Source organism: Homo sapiens, chromosome 7, assembly GCF_000001405.40.
Source record: "Homo sapiens chromosome 7, GRCh38.p14 Primary Assembly".
Taxonomy (NCBI): domain Eukaryota; kingdom Metazoa; phylum Chordata; class Mammalia; order Primates; family Hominidae; genus Homo; species Homo sapiens.
Window position 1 is genome coordinate 128,597,506 of NC_000007.14, and position 17,899 is coordinate 128,615,404.

Consider the following 17,899-nt stretch of genomic DNA (forward strand, 5'->3'; position numbering starts at 1 on the left):
GAAAAAAAAAATTAGTATTTGGCCTCACAGTCTAGTGCTCATTCTATACCACCACACTAGCTCCCAGTATGAAGACTATCTGTTTGTACAAAGACAATATATATCAGGCTAGAGAATAAGATATCTGAGCTGACCTCTCACTTTTAACTTTATGACATTACAACATACATAAAGATCCAGGAAGAAGGGAGATGTAGAGGGATTAGAAAAAGGTCATTTCCTCTTCTATTGGTGAGAATGTTGTCAGGGAAAATCATAAGCAAATAGTTTCCTAAATTATGAAAATAGAACATGTACGTGACCCGCAAGAAATTGAGGAGATGGAGAAGAGTAAAATTCTTCCCTTGGATTTCTCAGAGAGATAACTACTGTTAACAGTTTGTGTTTTGGATTTTCTAAGGATTACCATTTTAATGTCAAATAATGTGTTCCTTATTTAATCTTATTTATTGATTGATTTGTTTGTTGGTGGAGACAGGGTCCCACTGTGTTGCCTAGGCTGGTCTTGAACCATCCTCCTGCCTTGGCCTCTCAAAGTGTGGGGATTACAGGCTTGAGCCACTGTACCTGGCCTTATTTAATCAACTTTAAGTAAGATCTATTTACTCCTTGTTGTGAAGGACAAATTTAACATAACTTTCACCCAGTCTTTCTTTCTTTTTCAGTTGTTTAGTTATTGTTACAGTATGAGTGTTTGATATTTAGTTTGTTATTTTAACTACAATTGAGTCTTTTCTGCTTTGTAAATTATTCTAAGACTTGAAAACAAGGAACATGTACAATATTATGATTGTTTCATTGTTGGGCATTGCAAAACCAAATGATTTTATTGGACTCACTGAAAAGAAAAGAGACATTGAATTAGTTTAGATTGTAACAGTTCTAGTCGTCAAGGTCTACTGGATCTTTTTTTCCCTTAATGGCAAGTCTGTTGTTTCCTTAAAACTTGTGTCTTTTAACATTATGCAGATGTTCTTCAAAACTTGATTTTTTAAAAAGGTAGTTTCCTTTTTTTATGCCAAAGTATTTTAAAATACAATTCAGAAATCTTGACCTCCTATCTCTAAATAGTTAAATAGGCATTTTAAAAAAACATGTTAACATTTTGCTAGATAGCAAAATTAGCATTATAACGTATTTATTAGCATCTATAAGATAGAACTTTCTTCTCATCATCTGTGCCTGTTGCTCTACACTGACATACAGTTCTACTAGAAAGACAGGCTAAATGCTTAGTTCTTTCCTTTTAATTACTAATGAGGCTTTTACATTTTTTTTTAACTTTTAAAGTAGGGAGTTGTTCGATCGCTGTGCCAAATGGTGACAAATAGCTTTCTCTTCTTTGATTATCATGGCTTCATGGATTTTCATGGGTGTACATCAGTAAATAGAATCATTCTTTTTTGGTGCCAGTTGGTCACGGCTTTACCCTTTTACCAGTCGACGGACATTTAGGTTGTTTCCACTTCTTGGCTATTATGAATGATGTTGCTATGAACATTCATGTATAAGACTTTGTGTAGACATACGTTTTAGTTTCTTTTGGATATATGCTGGAGAGTGAAATTGCCAGGTCATATGGTAACTGTTTTTGAGGAACTGCCAGACTCTTCCACAGCAGCTGCACCGTTTTACATTCCCCGCAGCAGTACATTCCAATTTCTCCATGTCCTTGTCAGTACTTGCTATTGTCTCTCTTTTTCATTATAGCCATCCTAGTGGGTGTAAAGTGGCATCTCATTGTGGTTTTGATTTGCATTCCCCAAAAAACTGGTGATGTTGCACATTTTTTCATTTGCTAATTGGGCTTTTGTGCATCTTCTTTGGAGAGATCACTATTCAAATCCTTTACACATTTTTAAATAGTGTTGCCTTTATTGTTAATTTCTAAGCATTCTTTATATATTCTGAATATTAGATCTTTGTCAACTATATGATTGGCAGAGGTTTTCTATTCTGTGGGTGGTCAGTTTACTTCTTGATGGTGTCCTGTGAAGCACAGAAGTTTTTAATTTTGAGAAAAGTTCAATTTATCTGTTTTTTTTCTTTTGTTGCTTATGCTTTTAGTGTTGTAGCCAAGGCTTTACCTAACCTAAAGTCAAGAAAATTTACTCTTATATTTTCTTCTATGTGTTTTATACTTTTAGCTCTTACATTTAGGTCTTTTTTCCATCTTGTGTTAATTTTTGTGTGTGGTAGAGGAAGGAGTTCCAACTTCATTTTTTTTGCCTGTGTATATCCTATTGTCCCAGCACCATTTGTTGAAAATACTGTGCTTTAACCATTGAACTGTCGGCACCATTTTCAAAAATGAACTGACTTACAGCAAGAGGTTTATTTATGGACTCTAAATCCTGCTCCATCTATATGTTTGTTATATTAGCCCATTCTCACACTGCTACAAAGAACTACCTGAGACTGGGTAATTTATGAAGAAAAGAAGTTTAATTAACTCATAGTTCTGCAGGCTTAACAGGAAGCATGACTGGGAGGCCTCAGGAAACTTACAATCATGGGAGAAGGTGAAGGAGAAGCAAGCACCTTCTTCTCAGGAAAGAGAGTGAGAGAGTGAAGGGGAAAGTGCCATGCAGTTTTAAACCATCAGATCTCGTGAGAACTCACTCACTATCATGAGAACAGCAAGGGGGAAATATGCCCTCATGATCCAATCAGCTCCCACCAGACCCTTCCCCTGATATATGAGGAGTACAATTCGACATGAGATTTGGGTGGGGACACAGAAAAAACCATATCACCTGTCTTTATGCCAGGACCACACTGTCTGAATAACTGTAGCTTTGTAATAAGTCTTGAAATTGGGAAGTGCGAACCTTCCAACTTTGTTGGGTTTCAAGATTGTATTGGCTGTTTGGGATCTGTTGCATTTCCCTGTGATTTTTAAGATCATCCTTTCAGTTTCTATAAATAAACCAGATAGGATTTGATAGCAATTGTGTTGAATCCATAGATCAATTTGAGAAGTATTGCCTTTTTAACAGTATTAAGTCTTTCAATCCATGAACACAAAATATCTATTTAGGACCCTTTGATTTCTTTCAACAATGTTTTGCAACTTGCAATATATAGTCCTATATTTCTTTTGTTAAAATTATTCCTAAGTATTTATTCTTTTTACACTATTGCAAATGGAATAGTTTTCTTAGTTTTATTTTCAGATTGCTCGCTGCTAGAGTATAGAAATACAACTGATTTTTGTATGTTGATCTATCATGATGGAGTCTTGCTCTTTCACCTAGGCTGGAGTGCAGTGGTGTGATCTCAGCTCACTGCAACCTCCACCTCCCGGGTTCAAGCGATTCTCCTGCCTCAGCCTCCCGAGTAGCTGGGATTATAGGTGCCTGCCACTACGCCCAACTAATTTTTTGTATTTTTAGTAGAGATGGGGTTTCACCATGTTGACCAGGCTGGTCTCGAACTCCTGATCTTGTGATTCACTCACCTCAGCTTCCCAAAGTGCTGGGATTGTTTTAAAGGTTTAAGCAAGTTTTAAAACGTTAATTGTAAAGAAAATTCTGTGTGTAAACATATTAGCTAAAGTTAAAAAGGTATCATCCAGTTTTTCTGGGACATCCTTGTCTTTCTTGTTCATGATTTTTAAAGGAAAATATGAGGTCTTTAAAAATAAATATTACATTAGCCAGGCATGGTGGTGTGCACCTGTAATCCCAGTTATTTGGGAGGCTGAGGCAGGAGAATTGCTTGAACCCAGGAGATGGAGGTTGCAGTGAACTGAGATTGTGCCACTGCACTCCAGCCTGGGTGACAGCGCGAGAGACTGTCTCAAAAAAAAGAGAAAAAGTATGTTTACTGTATGCTTTTTAGAGGTGGTCATTTTTTAGGTTAAGAAAGTTCCTCTCTTTTTTTTTTTTTTTTTTTGTTTTGTTTTGTTGTTTTTTAAAGACAGGGTCTCATTTTGTCACCCAGGCTGTTGGAGTGCAGTGGCCTAATTGTGGCTCACTACAGCCTCAACTGCTTGGGCTCAAGCCATCCTCCCACCTCAGCCTCCCCAAATAGCTGGGACTATAGGTGTATGCCACCACACCCGGCTGATTTTTTGTTTGTTTGTTTGTTTGTTTGTTGAGCAAAGTCTTCCTTTGTCACTGAGGCTGGAGTGCAGTGGCATGGATCTCGGTTCAGTGCAACCTCTGCTTCCCGGATTAAGCAATTCTCCTGCCTCAGCCTTCTGAGTAGCTAGGATTACAGGTGCACACCACTGTGCCTGGCTAATTTTTGTATCTTTAGTAGAGACGGAGTTTTACCATGTTGGCCAGGCTGGTCTTGAACTCCTGACCTCAAGTGATCTGCCCGCCTTGGCCTCCCAGAATGCTGGGATTACAGGCATGAGCCACCACACCATGCCCTGATTTCTTTTGTAGAGACAGGGTTTTGCCATTTTGGCCAGGCTGGTCTGGAACTCCTGAGCTCAAGCTATCAGCTCACCTTGGCCTCCCAAAGTACTGCGATTATAGGCATGAGCCACTGCACCCGGCTGAGAAAGTTCCCTATTCTGAGTTTGTTGATTGTTTTTTTTTTTTTTTTTTTTACATAATGAAAAGAGTTTTTTATTTCAGAGAAATTTTGTTTTACTGTTTCTTTGATTATTTCATTTCCTCTGTTCTTTTCTCTAGAAAGCCATTAGATAGTTTCAGGGTCTCTGTGCTATTCATGTTTCTTTTCTTTTGTGCTCCATTTAACCTTTTGTTTTATCTTCTGGGAGATTTTCTTATTTTCTTTTCTTTCTTTTTTTTTTTTGAGACTGAGTCTCGCCCTGTCACCCAGGCTGGAGTGCAGTGGCGCGATCTTGGCTCACTGCAACCTCTGCCACCCAGGTTCAAGTGATTCTTCTGCCTCAGCCTCCTGAGTAACTGGGACTATAGGCACATACCACCACACCCAGCTAATTTTTAAAAACATTTTTAGTAGAGACGGCGTTTCACCGTATTGGCCAGGCTGGTCTCGAACTCCTGACCTCAGGTGATCCACCCGTCTCGCCTCCCAAAGTGCTGGGATTACAGGCGTGAGACACTGCACCTGGCCTCTTCTGGGAGATTTTCTTGACATTCTCTTTTAGGTTACTGGCTGTGTATTCAGCTGTGTCCATTTTGATATTTAACCCACCTATTAAATTTTTAAACTTTGATAATCATATTTTGTCAATTTGATTATTCGTGTTCTTTACTTTTTTAATTTTTGTAGCTACAGTATCTTTTTGATCCTCTCTGGACCTATTTTATTTTTTTCATCTTAAGAACCTTTAATACAGTTATCTAAATGCAGAGTTTCAGTTTATGAAATGAACCAAAGCAGTTTGTCATTTCATACTATAAAATATTGAAAATCAAGTGCTAAACTGATACTTTAGTTTTAAAGTTGTTTATTGAATTATCTGTTAACTCTTATGAGTAGGTATTGTTTTTTTGTCTTGGATTTTTCCTTTTGTGCTGTTGGGGTTGTCTTGAAAATGTATTTAGCTTAGCGGAATGAGGGATTAGAGTGATTAGTATAGGTTGTTGGCATGGATTTTTTTTTTTTCTTTTTGGTAACATAGTCTCTTTGTTTTCCAGTTTTGCATTTCTAGATTTTAACACAGGACCAGGCACAGAGGGTCACATTTAATGTTGAATGAATGATCAGTTACAGCATTTTTTTCTCTAACGGATCTGAGCATTGTCACATGAGATCCCTATATTGTGTAGTACCTTTTACCTTTTGAAAACATTGTTTTCATTTTCATGAGGATTTTCTGCTTCCCGACTAAGGAATTTCCTAACTGCCTACGTCCTCAGTTAACTTTTGCATTTTTACTTATCAATGAGCTATTTATATGTGTATTTTTACAGAAAGCTTTAATTTGGAAACATCACACTGAATCACTTTCTAACACCCTTAGTTTGCTGGAAGACAACTTAGAATCAGAAATAAGCATATTTAAACCCATATACCATATATCAAGAAATCTGTAAAGGGCCCTTAGTTTGCTGGAAGACAACTTAGAATCAGAAATAAGCATATTTAAACCCATATACCATATATCAAGAAATCTGTAAAGGGCCTTTTAGATCCCTCTTCTATGGGATCTGGCAACACAGAGCCATTCCTACAACTCCCAAAAGCAAATCTCTATCCAGCACAGACAGACCCGGGTAGGCTGATGATCAATAACCAGTGGAGGGGTATATTTGCTGCATAGGAATAAATGCTAACCTTAGATAGTCTATGATTCCCCTTTGTCTTCTCTATTTCTCTGTTGGTATCTCATTGTTTGTATTATATTCAGAACTTGCATTATGGGTAATTAAAGTCCTTTGGAACGTGCTTTAAGTTTTTGAGGCTTTTCTTTACCCTTCTAGTGTATTGGAGTAGAAATGCTTATACTGCAGCATGGTGTTAAGGAAAGTGCGCACACTGTTTTTTGTTTATGGTATTCCACGGAAATTAAGTGCACACACTTTGAACTTCCTAACTGCCTACTTCCTCAGTTTACTTTTGCATTTTACTTATCATTGGGCCATATATATATGTGTGTGTGTGTGTGTGTGTGTGTGTGTCTTTTTTATTTTTATTTTTATTTTTTTTGAGTCAGAGTCTCACTCTGTCATCCAGGCTGGAGTGCAGTGGTACGATCTCGACTCACTGCATCCTCTGCCTTCCAGGTTCAAGCGATTCTCCTGCCTCAGCCTCCCAAGTAGCTGGGACTACAGGCATGCACCACCACACCTGGCTAATTTTTTATATTTTTAGTAGAGATGAGGTTTCACCATATTGGCCAGGCTGGTCTTGAACTCCTGACCTCGTGATCTGCCTGCCCTGGCCTCCCAAAGTGACAGGATTACAGGCATGAGCCACTGCACCCGGCCCTATGTGAGCTTTAATTTAGAAATATCTCACTAAATCACTTTCTAACACCCTCAGTTTGCTGGAAGAAAACTTAGAATCAGATATAAGCATATTTAAACCAATATACCATATATCTAGAAATCTGTAGAAGTGTTTTTTAATCATTTGATTCTTTTTTTTATTTTTTTTATTTTTTATTTTTTGAGACGGAGTCTTGCTCTGTCACCCAGGCTGGAGTGCGGTGGCATGATCTCTGCTCACTGCAACCTCTGCCTCCTGGGTTAAAGCAATTCTCCTGCCTCAGCCTCCCGAGTAGCTGGGATTATAGGTACCTGCCCCCACGCCCAGATTATTTTTTTTGTATGTTTAGTAGAGACGGGGTTTCACCATGTTGGCCAGGCTGGTCTTGAACTCCTGACCTCATGATCCGCCCACCTTAGCCTCCCAAAGTGCTGGGATTACAGTCGTGAGCCACTGCACCCAGTCTAATCATTTGATTCTTATTGGCTCTTATTATAAATATAGTTCAGACAGTCATTTGTATAGAAACACATTGTAGGGCCGGGCGTGGTGGCTCACGCCTGTAATCCCAGCACTTTGGGAGGCTGAGGTGGGCGGATCATGAGGTCAGGAGATCGAGACCATCCTGGCTAACACGGTGAAAACACCATCTCTACTAAAAAAAAAAATTCAAAAAATTAGCCGGGAGTGGTGGCGGGCGCCTGTAGTCCCAGCTACTCAGGAGGCTGAGTCAGGAGATGGTGTGAACCTGGGAGGCAGAGCTTGCAGTGAGCCGAGATCGTGCCACTGCACTCCAGCCTGAGCAACAGAGCAAGACTCCATCTCAAAAAAAAAAAAAAGTAAAAATAAAAAATAAAAAAATAGAAACACATTGTAAAAGGAGAGGATTGTAAAAGCAATCAAATGATAACTGAAGGAAAGAATGCTCGTATCCTAGTGCATTATAATACTTGAGGTTCATAATGATGACCCTTAATTAGTAAGGAAAGATTGGATTTGCTGCATCCTAGAGTAGAGAACATTTTTAGTTATTTGGAATTATATAGACTTGGCACTCCCCCCGAGACCCCCACCGCAAGATGGAGTCTTGCTCTGTCACCCAGGCTGGAGTGCAGTGGTGTGATCTCAGCTCATCGCAACCTCCACCTCCCAGGCTGAAGCGATTCTCCTGCCCCAGCCTCCTAAGTAGCTGGGATTACAGGCGCCCACCACCATGCCCGGCTAATTTTTTTTGTTTTGTATTGTTTTTTTTTTTTTTTTTTTTAGTAGAGATGAGATTTCACCATGTTGGCCAGGCTGGTCTTCAACTTCTGACCTTAGCTGATCCACCTGCCTCAGCCTCCCAAAGTGCTGGGATTATACGCCTGAGCCACCGCACCCAGCCTCAAATGATAAACTTTTTTTTTTTTTTTTTTTTTGAGACAAAGTCTCGCTCTGTTGCCCAGGCTGGAGTGAAGTGACACAATCTTGGCTCACTGCAAGCTCCGCTTCCCAGGTTCAAGCGATTCTCCTGCCTCAGCCTCCCCAGTAGCCGGGATTACAGGCGTGCACCACTGTGCCTGGCTAATTTTTTGTATTTCCAGTAGAGATGGGATTTCACCATGTTGGCCAGGCTGGTCTTGAATTCCTGACCTCAGGTCATCCACCCGCCTCGGCCTCCCAAAGTGCTAGGATTACAGGCATGAGCCACTGTGCTCAGCCTCAAATCATAAACTTTTTAAAGGTTTATCCCTGACCCTCTAAATTAGGTTATGTGCCTTGTTATATGCTCTTTTAGCACTTCTCCTAATTGTGATTGTGTATTTATTATATGATTGTTTATTCAACAGTTTCTTTCAACAAATATTTACCAAGTGTTTAGTAAATCTTCTTTTGGATTGTAAGCTTCATTAAGGCAGAGTAAGGACTGAGTCTGTGGTTTCTCCTGGCCATGTGCACCTAGCACCTAGCACAGTGCTTAGACATAGGGAGTACTTAATAAATAGTCATTGAATGGATACATTAAAATGGCGTTAATAATGCTGCCTATCTGATAAGGCTGTTGTGAGCCTTCAATGAAATCGTGTGTAGGAAGTGCTAGTTTGCTCACAGGTTGGTGGTAACAGTCTACTGTGGTCATTGAGAGCAGTTATTGTGGACACAACCCACAGTTCTTGTCACCCCACCCACTAGCTCTGTGAACCCACATAGGTACTTAATATCTCTGATTTTTATTTTATTTATCTGTAAAATGGAACTAATAATTACAACCACCTTATAGGACAGAGTCTTGGCTCTGTCACCCAGGCTGGAGTGCAGTGGTGTGATCTCGTCTCACTGCAACCTCCGCCTCCCAGGCTCAAGCAATTCTCCTGCCTCAGCCTCCTGAGGAGCTGGGATTACAGGTGTGCACCACCGTGCCTAGCTAATTTTTGTATTTTTAGTAAGATGGGGTTTTGCCATGTTGGCCAGGCTGGTCTCAAGCTTCTGGCCTCAAGTGATCCACCTGATTTAGCCTCCCAAAGTGCTAGGATTACAGGTGAGCCACCTGACCCAGCCTCCTTATAGGATTTTGTAAGAATTAACCTGTGACAATGACAGTGAAACATTTAGGTTACAGTAACTTGTTGAATAGATGGTGGTTATACCATTGTTAATAATGAGTAAGAACAGTAATCAAAAGAATATGTAGAAAGTATCAGAAGAAATTCACTTGTGGAAATGCTGTATTCTCTGATGAGATAGTCGTACTGTATTTTTACTATTCCATGATCCTCAGAATATTGAATATTTTCTACTTACGTCTGTGATGGGTCATACTTTGTTAGCTGCAGTTTTACCTTGTTTTAAAAAGTACTATTAGGCTAGGCGTGGTGGCTCACGCCTGTAATCCCAGCACTTTGGGAGGCCGAGGCGGGCGGATCATGAGGTCAGGAGATCAAGACCATCCTGGCTAACACAGTGAAACCCCGTCTCCACTAAACATACAAAAAATTAGCCAGGCATGGTGGCGGGTGCCTGTAATCCCAGCTACTTGGGAGGCTGAGGCAGGAGAATGGCATAAACCCGGGAGGCAGAGCTTGCAGTGAGCCCAGATCGCGCCACTGCACTCCAGCCTGGGTGACAGAGCGAGACTCTGTCTCAAAAAAAAAAAAAAAGTACTATTGAGAATATAATATAATTAACCTGAATAGGTTAATAACCTGAATAGGTTAATTATATTATGGAACCTAAACCATATAAATTTAAAATGCCTTAGAATGCCCAGTCAGCAAGTGACAGTATTAGAAATCAACCTGGATTTTAGACCGCTGTGTGTTCATGGATAATGTTTGTGTGTTTAGGAGACTATTCTGAATAGTGTTTCACAGTCCTTTACGTGCATCCCCTTGTGCATTGGATGCTTCACTAGCCTTTTCTGACTAAAGCATATGAAAATACAAGTGAAAAAGGCAAGTTATTACAGGAATAACTTTTCATTTTCTCTAATTTTCATATTTTAAAAATTCATTTGTAAGCATTTGATACTTTAAACCTGTTTACAGGAACTTGGTATAAACCACCATGTCTAGCCCTTTGTCTCATATTTGAATTGTTTTACTTTCTTCTTGGCCACGTGGCCCTGACTTCTCACTTTCATAAGAAGGGGTTTGTATTGTGGAGATACAAATTATGGAGTTGTTTGCATTAATACAAGTGTTTGTGGAAAAAGATGCCAAACTTTCCTGTGATTGGTAATGCACCTTTATTGTAGGCTCAGCAAAACAGTCCCTCATCTACGGGATCTGGCAACACAGAGCATTCCTGCAGCTCCCAAAAACAGATCTCCATCCAGCACAGACAGACCCAGGTAGGTTGGTGATCGATAATCAATTGAGGGGGATACCTGCTGTGTAGGAATAAGGGCTAACCTGTGTAGTCTGTCATTCTTCTCTGACTTCTCTGACCACCTCATTATTTGTGTGTATTATATTCAGAACTTGCATTATGGGTATTTAAAGTCCTTTGGAAGGTGCTTTAACTTTTTGAGGCTTTTCTTTACTCTTCTGGTGTATTGTAGCAGAAATGCTTATGCTAAAGCATGGTGTTAAGGAAAGTGCACACTTTTTTTTTTTTTTCCTACAGTATTCCACAGAAGAAAAGTACCTACACTTTGAAGGCCTCTAAGTTCAGATTCTGGCACTGTGGCCTAAGTTCAGATTCTGGCCTGGGCCTCAGTTTTTCTTAGTACAAATCATCTGTGAAAATGTGGTTGATTCTCATGATCTCAGACAGTGTATACGAAATGTTTATTAGTAGTGTACTTGTAGTAGGCTTTCAATAAATGTTAATTCCCTAATTTATGAAAGTAGTTAATGTATTCCTTTTCCTGCTTACTTATTTATACCTGGCTAAACTTCTCTCAGATGTGAGATACCAACATGGTTTACTCCTTAAATTGTGTTCAGAAACTCTTTAATTTAGGGAGTGTTCTGAACATTTGAGGATTGTATCTGCAAAGGATGGTGGCTATAGCTTCCATTTTGTAGTTTTGAGTATACTGGGTTTTCTTGAAGCCTCTTTTGATACTGTATATATTATCTTCAAGACAGGATCGTTGGCAATCTAGGAGAATTTCTTAAATCTCAAGAGGTATACAACTCCCTGGAGCACATTTGAATTTTATCTAAATCACCAGCTCTTGTACAGTTCAGTTAGATAGTTGAGCACTCAGGTAGCTTCTTCTCTTCCCTTCTGATTGCTCTCTGTTTCCACCAGATGGCGCATTTGTTCCTTAGAGAGTTGTGTCAAGTCTCCTGTGAGATCGTTTTCTATTCAAAGTTAGTTTCATTTCTGGAGTAACGTGTTTCTACATTGTTCAGTGCACAGTAGTGAGAATTCATACATTTGATTCCAGAATTAACATGTATTTGAAGTGTAGGTGTAGTGGGACGTAAGGAACCCAGCAGAGGACTTGAACAATGAGATGAGACAAGCAGATTTCATTTCTTAAGCCATGTGATTCTAGGCCATTTGTGTGAGCAAGTGCTTTTTTTTCCCCCCAAGAAAGGTAACGAGAAGAGTGTGATGACATATAACATGTTGAGACTAATCCTAAATTTGTTTTACCTTTGTCTCTGTAGTCCAACCTCACAATAGAAAAAATATCTGCACTAGAAAACAGTAAGAATTCTGACCTAGAGAAGAGGGAGGGAAGAATAGATGATTTATTAAGAGTAAGTATTAAAATTTGGTAAGATATTTTATAGCAAGCACCATTTGTTATATATATTTGGATTATGTACATATCATAGAAGTAATTACTATAGCCAAATAACAATGAAATAATAAACATTTGGGTATTTTTCTTTAATTGAGGGAATCTGAGTAGGAACCAGGTTCCTGCATTCTAAACACTACCTTTAAATTGGAAATCTTATACTGTAGTATTTTAATGATTGAATTTATATTGGAGAAATAGATATGTGGAGTGTTATATTTCATCTAGAACTGTGGGAATAAGTATAAAGTGTTGTTTTCCCATTCCAGAGAAATTATTTTAATATTGTTGAATTTTATAAGCTATTTCAAAGGACTTTTTAGCCCATTTTGCTTTTTGTACCTTTTATAACCTACTCACCCAAACTTTTTTGTGCTTACAAAAGAAACCTTTAAAATGCTTCATCTGGAATTAAATAGATATCACTAGAAAATACTTTATCAATATATTTTGAACATGCAATTTGGCATGACTGACTCATAGTTTTTAAAGAGTAAAAAGGGCCGGACATGGTGGTTCACACCTGTAATCCCAGCACTTTGGGAGGCCAACGCAGGTGGATCACTTGAGGTCAGGAGTTTGAGACCACCCTGGCCAACATGTTGAAAAGAAACCCTGTCTCTACTAAAAAAATATAAAACATTATCCTGGTGTGGTGGCAAGCGGCTGTAGTCCCAGCTACTTGGGAGGCTGAGACAGGGGAATTGCTTGAGCCTGGGAGGCGGAGGTTGCAGTGAGCCGAGATTGCGCCACTGCATTCCAGCCTGGGCGACAGAGTGATACTTCGTGTCAAGAAAAAAATAAGAAAGTAAAAAGGACCGGGCATGGTGGCCCATACCTGCCACTTTGGGAGGCTGAGGCAGGAGGATTGCTTGAGATCAGGAGTTTGAGACCAGCATGCATGACACAGCAAGACCCCATTTCTATAAAAGAATACAAAATTTGCCAGGCATGGTGGTGTGTCTGTGGTCCCAGCTACTGGGAGCCTGAGGTGGGAAGATGCTTGAGCCCAGGACCTCTAGGCTACAGTGAGCCAAGTTCACGCTGCTGCGCTCCAGCCTGGACAACAGAGCAAGACCCTGTCTCAAAAAAAAAAAACCATTATACATGCTCTTTACAAAATACAGAAAAATATGTCACTCATAATTCCATTAATTGGGATTAAACATTTGGTACATTTTTTTTTTCAGTAATTTTGAGCTGTTTGAAGTAGATATGTGTGTGTATATATATATATACACACACACACACAAATGAATATATACATAAATGTTACTGATTTACGAATAACATTGGCTAGCATTTTTCTCTTCTCTAGTGATTTAGAAGGTATAGGTTTGATCCTTATTTCTGCTAATGTGGTAGTTAATCTGACTCTTCAGGGTCCTGAAACCTCCAGGGCTACTGTGACACAGCAAGATGGGGATCGGCAACCTTGCCTTTGTCAGTCTTTCTTATTAGGCTTTGGGTACAATTTTGTTTGAATATATGTTTAATAATACAGATTATAAAAGTCACTGTACTCATGATGATCTGACCTCCAAAATTTTTTTACTTGTATTATATTTCTGTACTTAATAAAAACATAAGGTAAAATAGTGTATTTTGACTCCTTTTTATATAAAACCTGGAATTCAGCACATAGCTAAACTAAGTCTGGCCTTTATTAGTAAAGTCTGGTGTGTTTATATTATTATTAATTTTTTTTTTTTTGAGACAGAGTCTTGCTCTGTTGCCCAGACTGAAGTGCAGTGGCGTGATCTCAGCTCACTGCAACCTCCGCCTCCCAGGGTCAAGCAATTCTCCTACCTCAGCCTCCTGAGTAGCTGGGATTACAGGTGCCCGCCACCATGCCCAGCTAATTTTTGCATTTTTAGTAGAGATGGTGTTTCACCATGTTGGTCAGGCTGGTCTCGAACCCCTGACCTTGTGATCCACCCACCTCGGCCTCCCAAAGTGCTGGGATTACAGGCGTGAGCCACCGCGTCCAGCTATTATTATTAATTTTATATATTTATTTTGAGACAGGATCTCACTCTGTCACCCAGGCTGGAGTGCGGTGGCGCAGTCTTGCAAGCTGTGCCCTCCCCAGTCCCCACCCGATGTGATCCTCCCACCTCGGCCTCCCAAGTAGCTGGGACTATAGGCATGTGCCACTACATTTGGCTGTTTATATTATTAATCAATTAATTTTTTGAGACAGAGTCTCACTTTGTCACCCAGGTTCAAGTGATTCTCCTGCCTCTGCCTCCCAAGTAGCTGGGATTACAGGCATGCACCACAATGCCTGGCTAATTTTTGTATTTTTAATAGAGATGGGTTTTTGCCACATTGGCCACGCTGGTCTCGAACTCCTGACCTGCAGTGATCAGCCTGCCTTGGTCTGCCAAAGTGCTGGGATTGCAGGCGTGAGTCACTGCGCTCGGCCTATATTATTATTATTAAATTACCATTTTTACTGCTATATATGACACTAAGTTCTTATGTATAGAGTATAGGCAGAGGCAGCTTTATGACCAAATTCATAGTCATTGTTAGACTGGTTTATTCAACTGATTTCAAGGCTTATCAACAGTATTTTTTTTTATTTATAGTTCTTGTTTTATCTGTTGATGGTGGTACATTTTTAAGTGATTATTTTTCAGCAAGGATTTGTCAGTGTTAAATTTTCTCTGCCTTGCAGACCTGAGAATTCTCTCTTTTGCCCTCCCATGGAAAGACAACACTGTGTGCAGGATTTTTGTGTCATAACCCCTTGTTCTGTTTGTTCTGCTTCTCAAATATAACACACATTCTCTCTCTCTGTTTCTCCTTCAGTTTTTCAAGCATTTTGTATTTCAGAGAGGTTCATGACCAAAGCAGCAAACACCATAATTTGTTAAATATTACCCCAGGGTGTATCTATATGTGGGTTTATATATTTTTATTTGGAAAATGTGTGATTATGTCTAACTATGCTTTTATCCCTGTTTATATTGGTTTCTTCTTGACTCTTAGCTTGAATCTCTGATTTCTCTCCTTTATTTCTAACATGTTATGTCTCATTTTAATATGATTGCCCCTTTCTTCTGAGTCTCATTAAACACTGTCTTCCATATATTTCTGGCATTTACTGCAGCTCATGTGAATTTTGATTTTATTGTTTACATTTTTATTTTTTGAGACAGTGTCTTGCTGTCGCCCAGGCTGGGTGCAGTGGCACCGTCATGGCTCACTGCAGCCTTCATCTCCCAGGCTCAAGTAGTCCTCTCACTTCAGCCTCCTGAATAGCTGGGACTACAGGCATGTGCCACTGTGCTTGGCTAATTTTTTTATTTTTTGTAGGAACAGGGTCTCACTATGTTGCCCAGGCTGGTCTTGAACTCTTGGGTTCAAGCAATCCTCCTACCTTGGCCTCCCAAAGTACTGGGATAACAGACGTGAGTCACCGTGACAGGCCTATTATTTACATTTTAAATTTCCCTGCTTTTTTCCCTCATCTAATATACTTTCTTACCCCATCCTGTATATTCTCTAGGGTTTTTGGTTCCTATTTCCTAGATATCATGTCTTTTTGCATTTTATGAAATATGACAAGAAGTATTCTAAAATGTTCTTTTGATTTCTGTGGGTGATAATTTTCATTGTTTTCAAGCTGATTTTCTGTATTCCTTGGGCCTATTTTTGTTGTTGTTGTTTTTATTTACTATTGTTATTTTTATTTCCTTTTCTCCATCTTTGAATGAGGAGACCCATATGTAGTCTCAGCACTGTGTTGTATTTTTCATTGTTCGGATATGTATACTTGCATGGAGTTGCTCTTATTCCTGTTTTTATTCATTTGGGTGCTGGTTGAATTGCCATCAAAGATTTATAATGAAATGGTTTGTGGGTGTAAAAAGCTCCTTGCCAAATTCCAGTATCTGTCAGGGTTTTGTACAGAGAAGCTCTGCTGTACTGAGAAATAATTGTGGGCGTGCCTTTCTCCATCATCTGACTCTTTAAGATTGAGATGACAGAGTATGAGAAAAACTTGAATCCTAACCTGGTACTGCTTTAGGAGTTTTAAAAAAATGTTTGCTTATGTTTTCTAAGAAGCAATATGTTTCCTTCACTCACCACTGCCCCTTCTACTCTGTCGTCTTCAGACTGTTGCAGTCTTTATTTGTATGTAGAGCAGTACTAAAGGAGTAGATAAATAAAAAAGGAAGACACCGAGGGCAGCTGCCTTGTTTTTAGGTTGATTAGAACTTGTGCTTCTAGAAGATCTAGAGGATCAATAGTGAGGGAAAGACTGCATGTCTTGTATATTCTTTCAGACATCATTCATTGAATTTTGCCATTTTAGTAAGATGTTGGGTATGGCTGCATTGGGGGCTACTAGCCATCTGCTTTTTTTTTTCTTTTTTTTTTTAATTTAAAAAAAAGGACACAGTGTCTTGCTCTGTCTCCCAGGCTGGAGTGCTGTGGTGCAATCACAGCTCACTGCAGCCTCGACCTCCCAGGCTCAAGCAATCCTCAGCCTCCCGAACAGCTGGCATCAGAGGCGCATGCCACCACACACGGCTAATTTTCAAAATTTTATAGAGACAAGGTTTTGCCATGTTGCCGAGGCTGGTCTTGAACTCCTGGGCTCAAGTGATGCTCCTGCCTCGGCCTCCCAGAGTGCTGGGATTATAGGCATGATCCACGCGCACCAGCCACCAGCTGTTACTTTAAACATGAACTCCTCGAAGACATTAGCGTCAGAAGCCACAAAAACTTAGAATTCTTAAAATTTTAAATAACTGCCAAGAGGTTGATTGATTTCATACATTTGATTATAGATTTCAAGGGAACACTCACCTTATGAGTAGACTGGGTTTTCCATAAACATTAAATGATCTTTGCTTGGTAGATTCTTTAGTATGAATTTGGTAATCACACTTACCCAAATGTAGTTACACTCTGCCTTTGATAATATGGTTCTGTACAAAAACTAACAGGAAGACATTATGCTATGGGGAGAGGAGAAACATTTGGAGACAGAAGCTGTTTCTCATGGGTTACTTTAAAAATGATGCTATATTATACAAAAGAAATGATAAAAATTTTTAATGAAGCTACAAAGTCTCAAAAATTGAGTATCGTGTGATATCTTCTGTTTGTGGTTTTTAGTATTTTAGAAACACCTAACAGGTTTTTCTTTTTCATAATTTAAGTGAGTTTTTATGAGGTAACATTATTTGCTAGAAGAGCTGAGATCTTTTTTTTTTTTTTTTTTTTAACACAAAAGGACTAAATTCAGGACTTGCTAGTCAAATTCGTCCTTGGGTTAGTGGTTCTTTCCTTCTCTGTTATTGCAGGAGGCTTCAAGTTTTTAGTCCACACTGTAGGCTTCTGACCACAGCTAAATTAGCTGTGTATTTACATTCTGGCATTCTTGAACCAGGACCTTGTTTGTTTGTTCTGTCTTTTGTGGGCATGGGCGTGCCTGGCTTCTCTGGTGAGGAACATTTATGCAAATTTATCTTTCTTAAATACCACTAGAAAAAGAACAAAGCAAACATAAAATTCAGTAATTTTTTTGTATGTGCTTAATCACTCTTTGTATTTTAAACATTCATTGTAGTTTATTTTTTTATTATTTTATTTTTTGAGATGAAGTCTCACTCTGTCACCTAGGCTGGAGTGCGGTGGCGTGATCTTGGCTCACTACAACCCTCGCCTTTGGGTTCAAGCGATTCTCCCGCCTCAGCCTCCTGAGTAGCTGGAATTACAGGCTCCCGCCACCACGTGTGGCTAATTTTTTTATATTTAGTA

General features: G+C 39.3%; 1 annotated feature.

The window, feature by feature from the left end:
* Nucleotides 761-924: a silencer, noted in NCBI's record as "fragment chr7:128238320-128238483 (GRCh37/hg19 assembly coordinates)". NCBI's record gives its function as "represses an EF-1alpha promoter that drives an FKBP-Casp9 reporter gene in an ReSE screen in HepG2 liver carcinoma cells {active_cell/tissue: HepG2}" and the evidence as "EXISTENCE:reporter gene assay evidence [ECO:0000049][PMID:32094911]".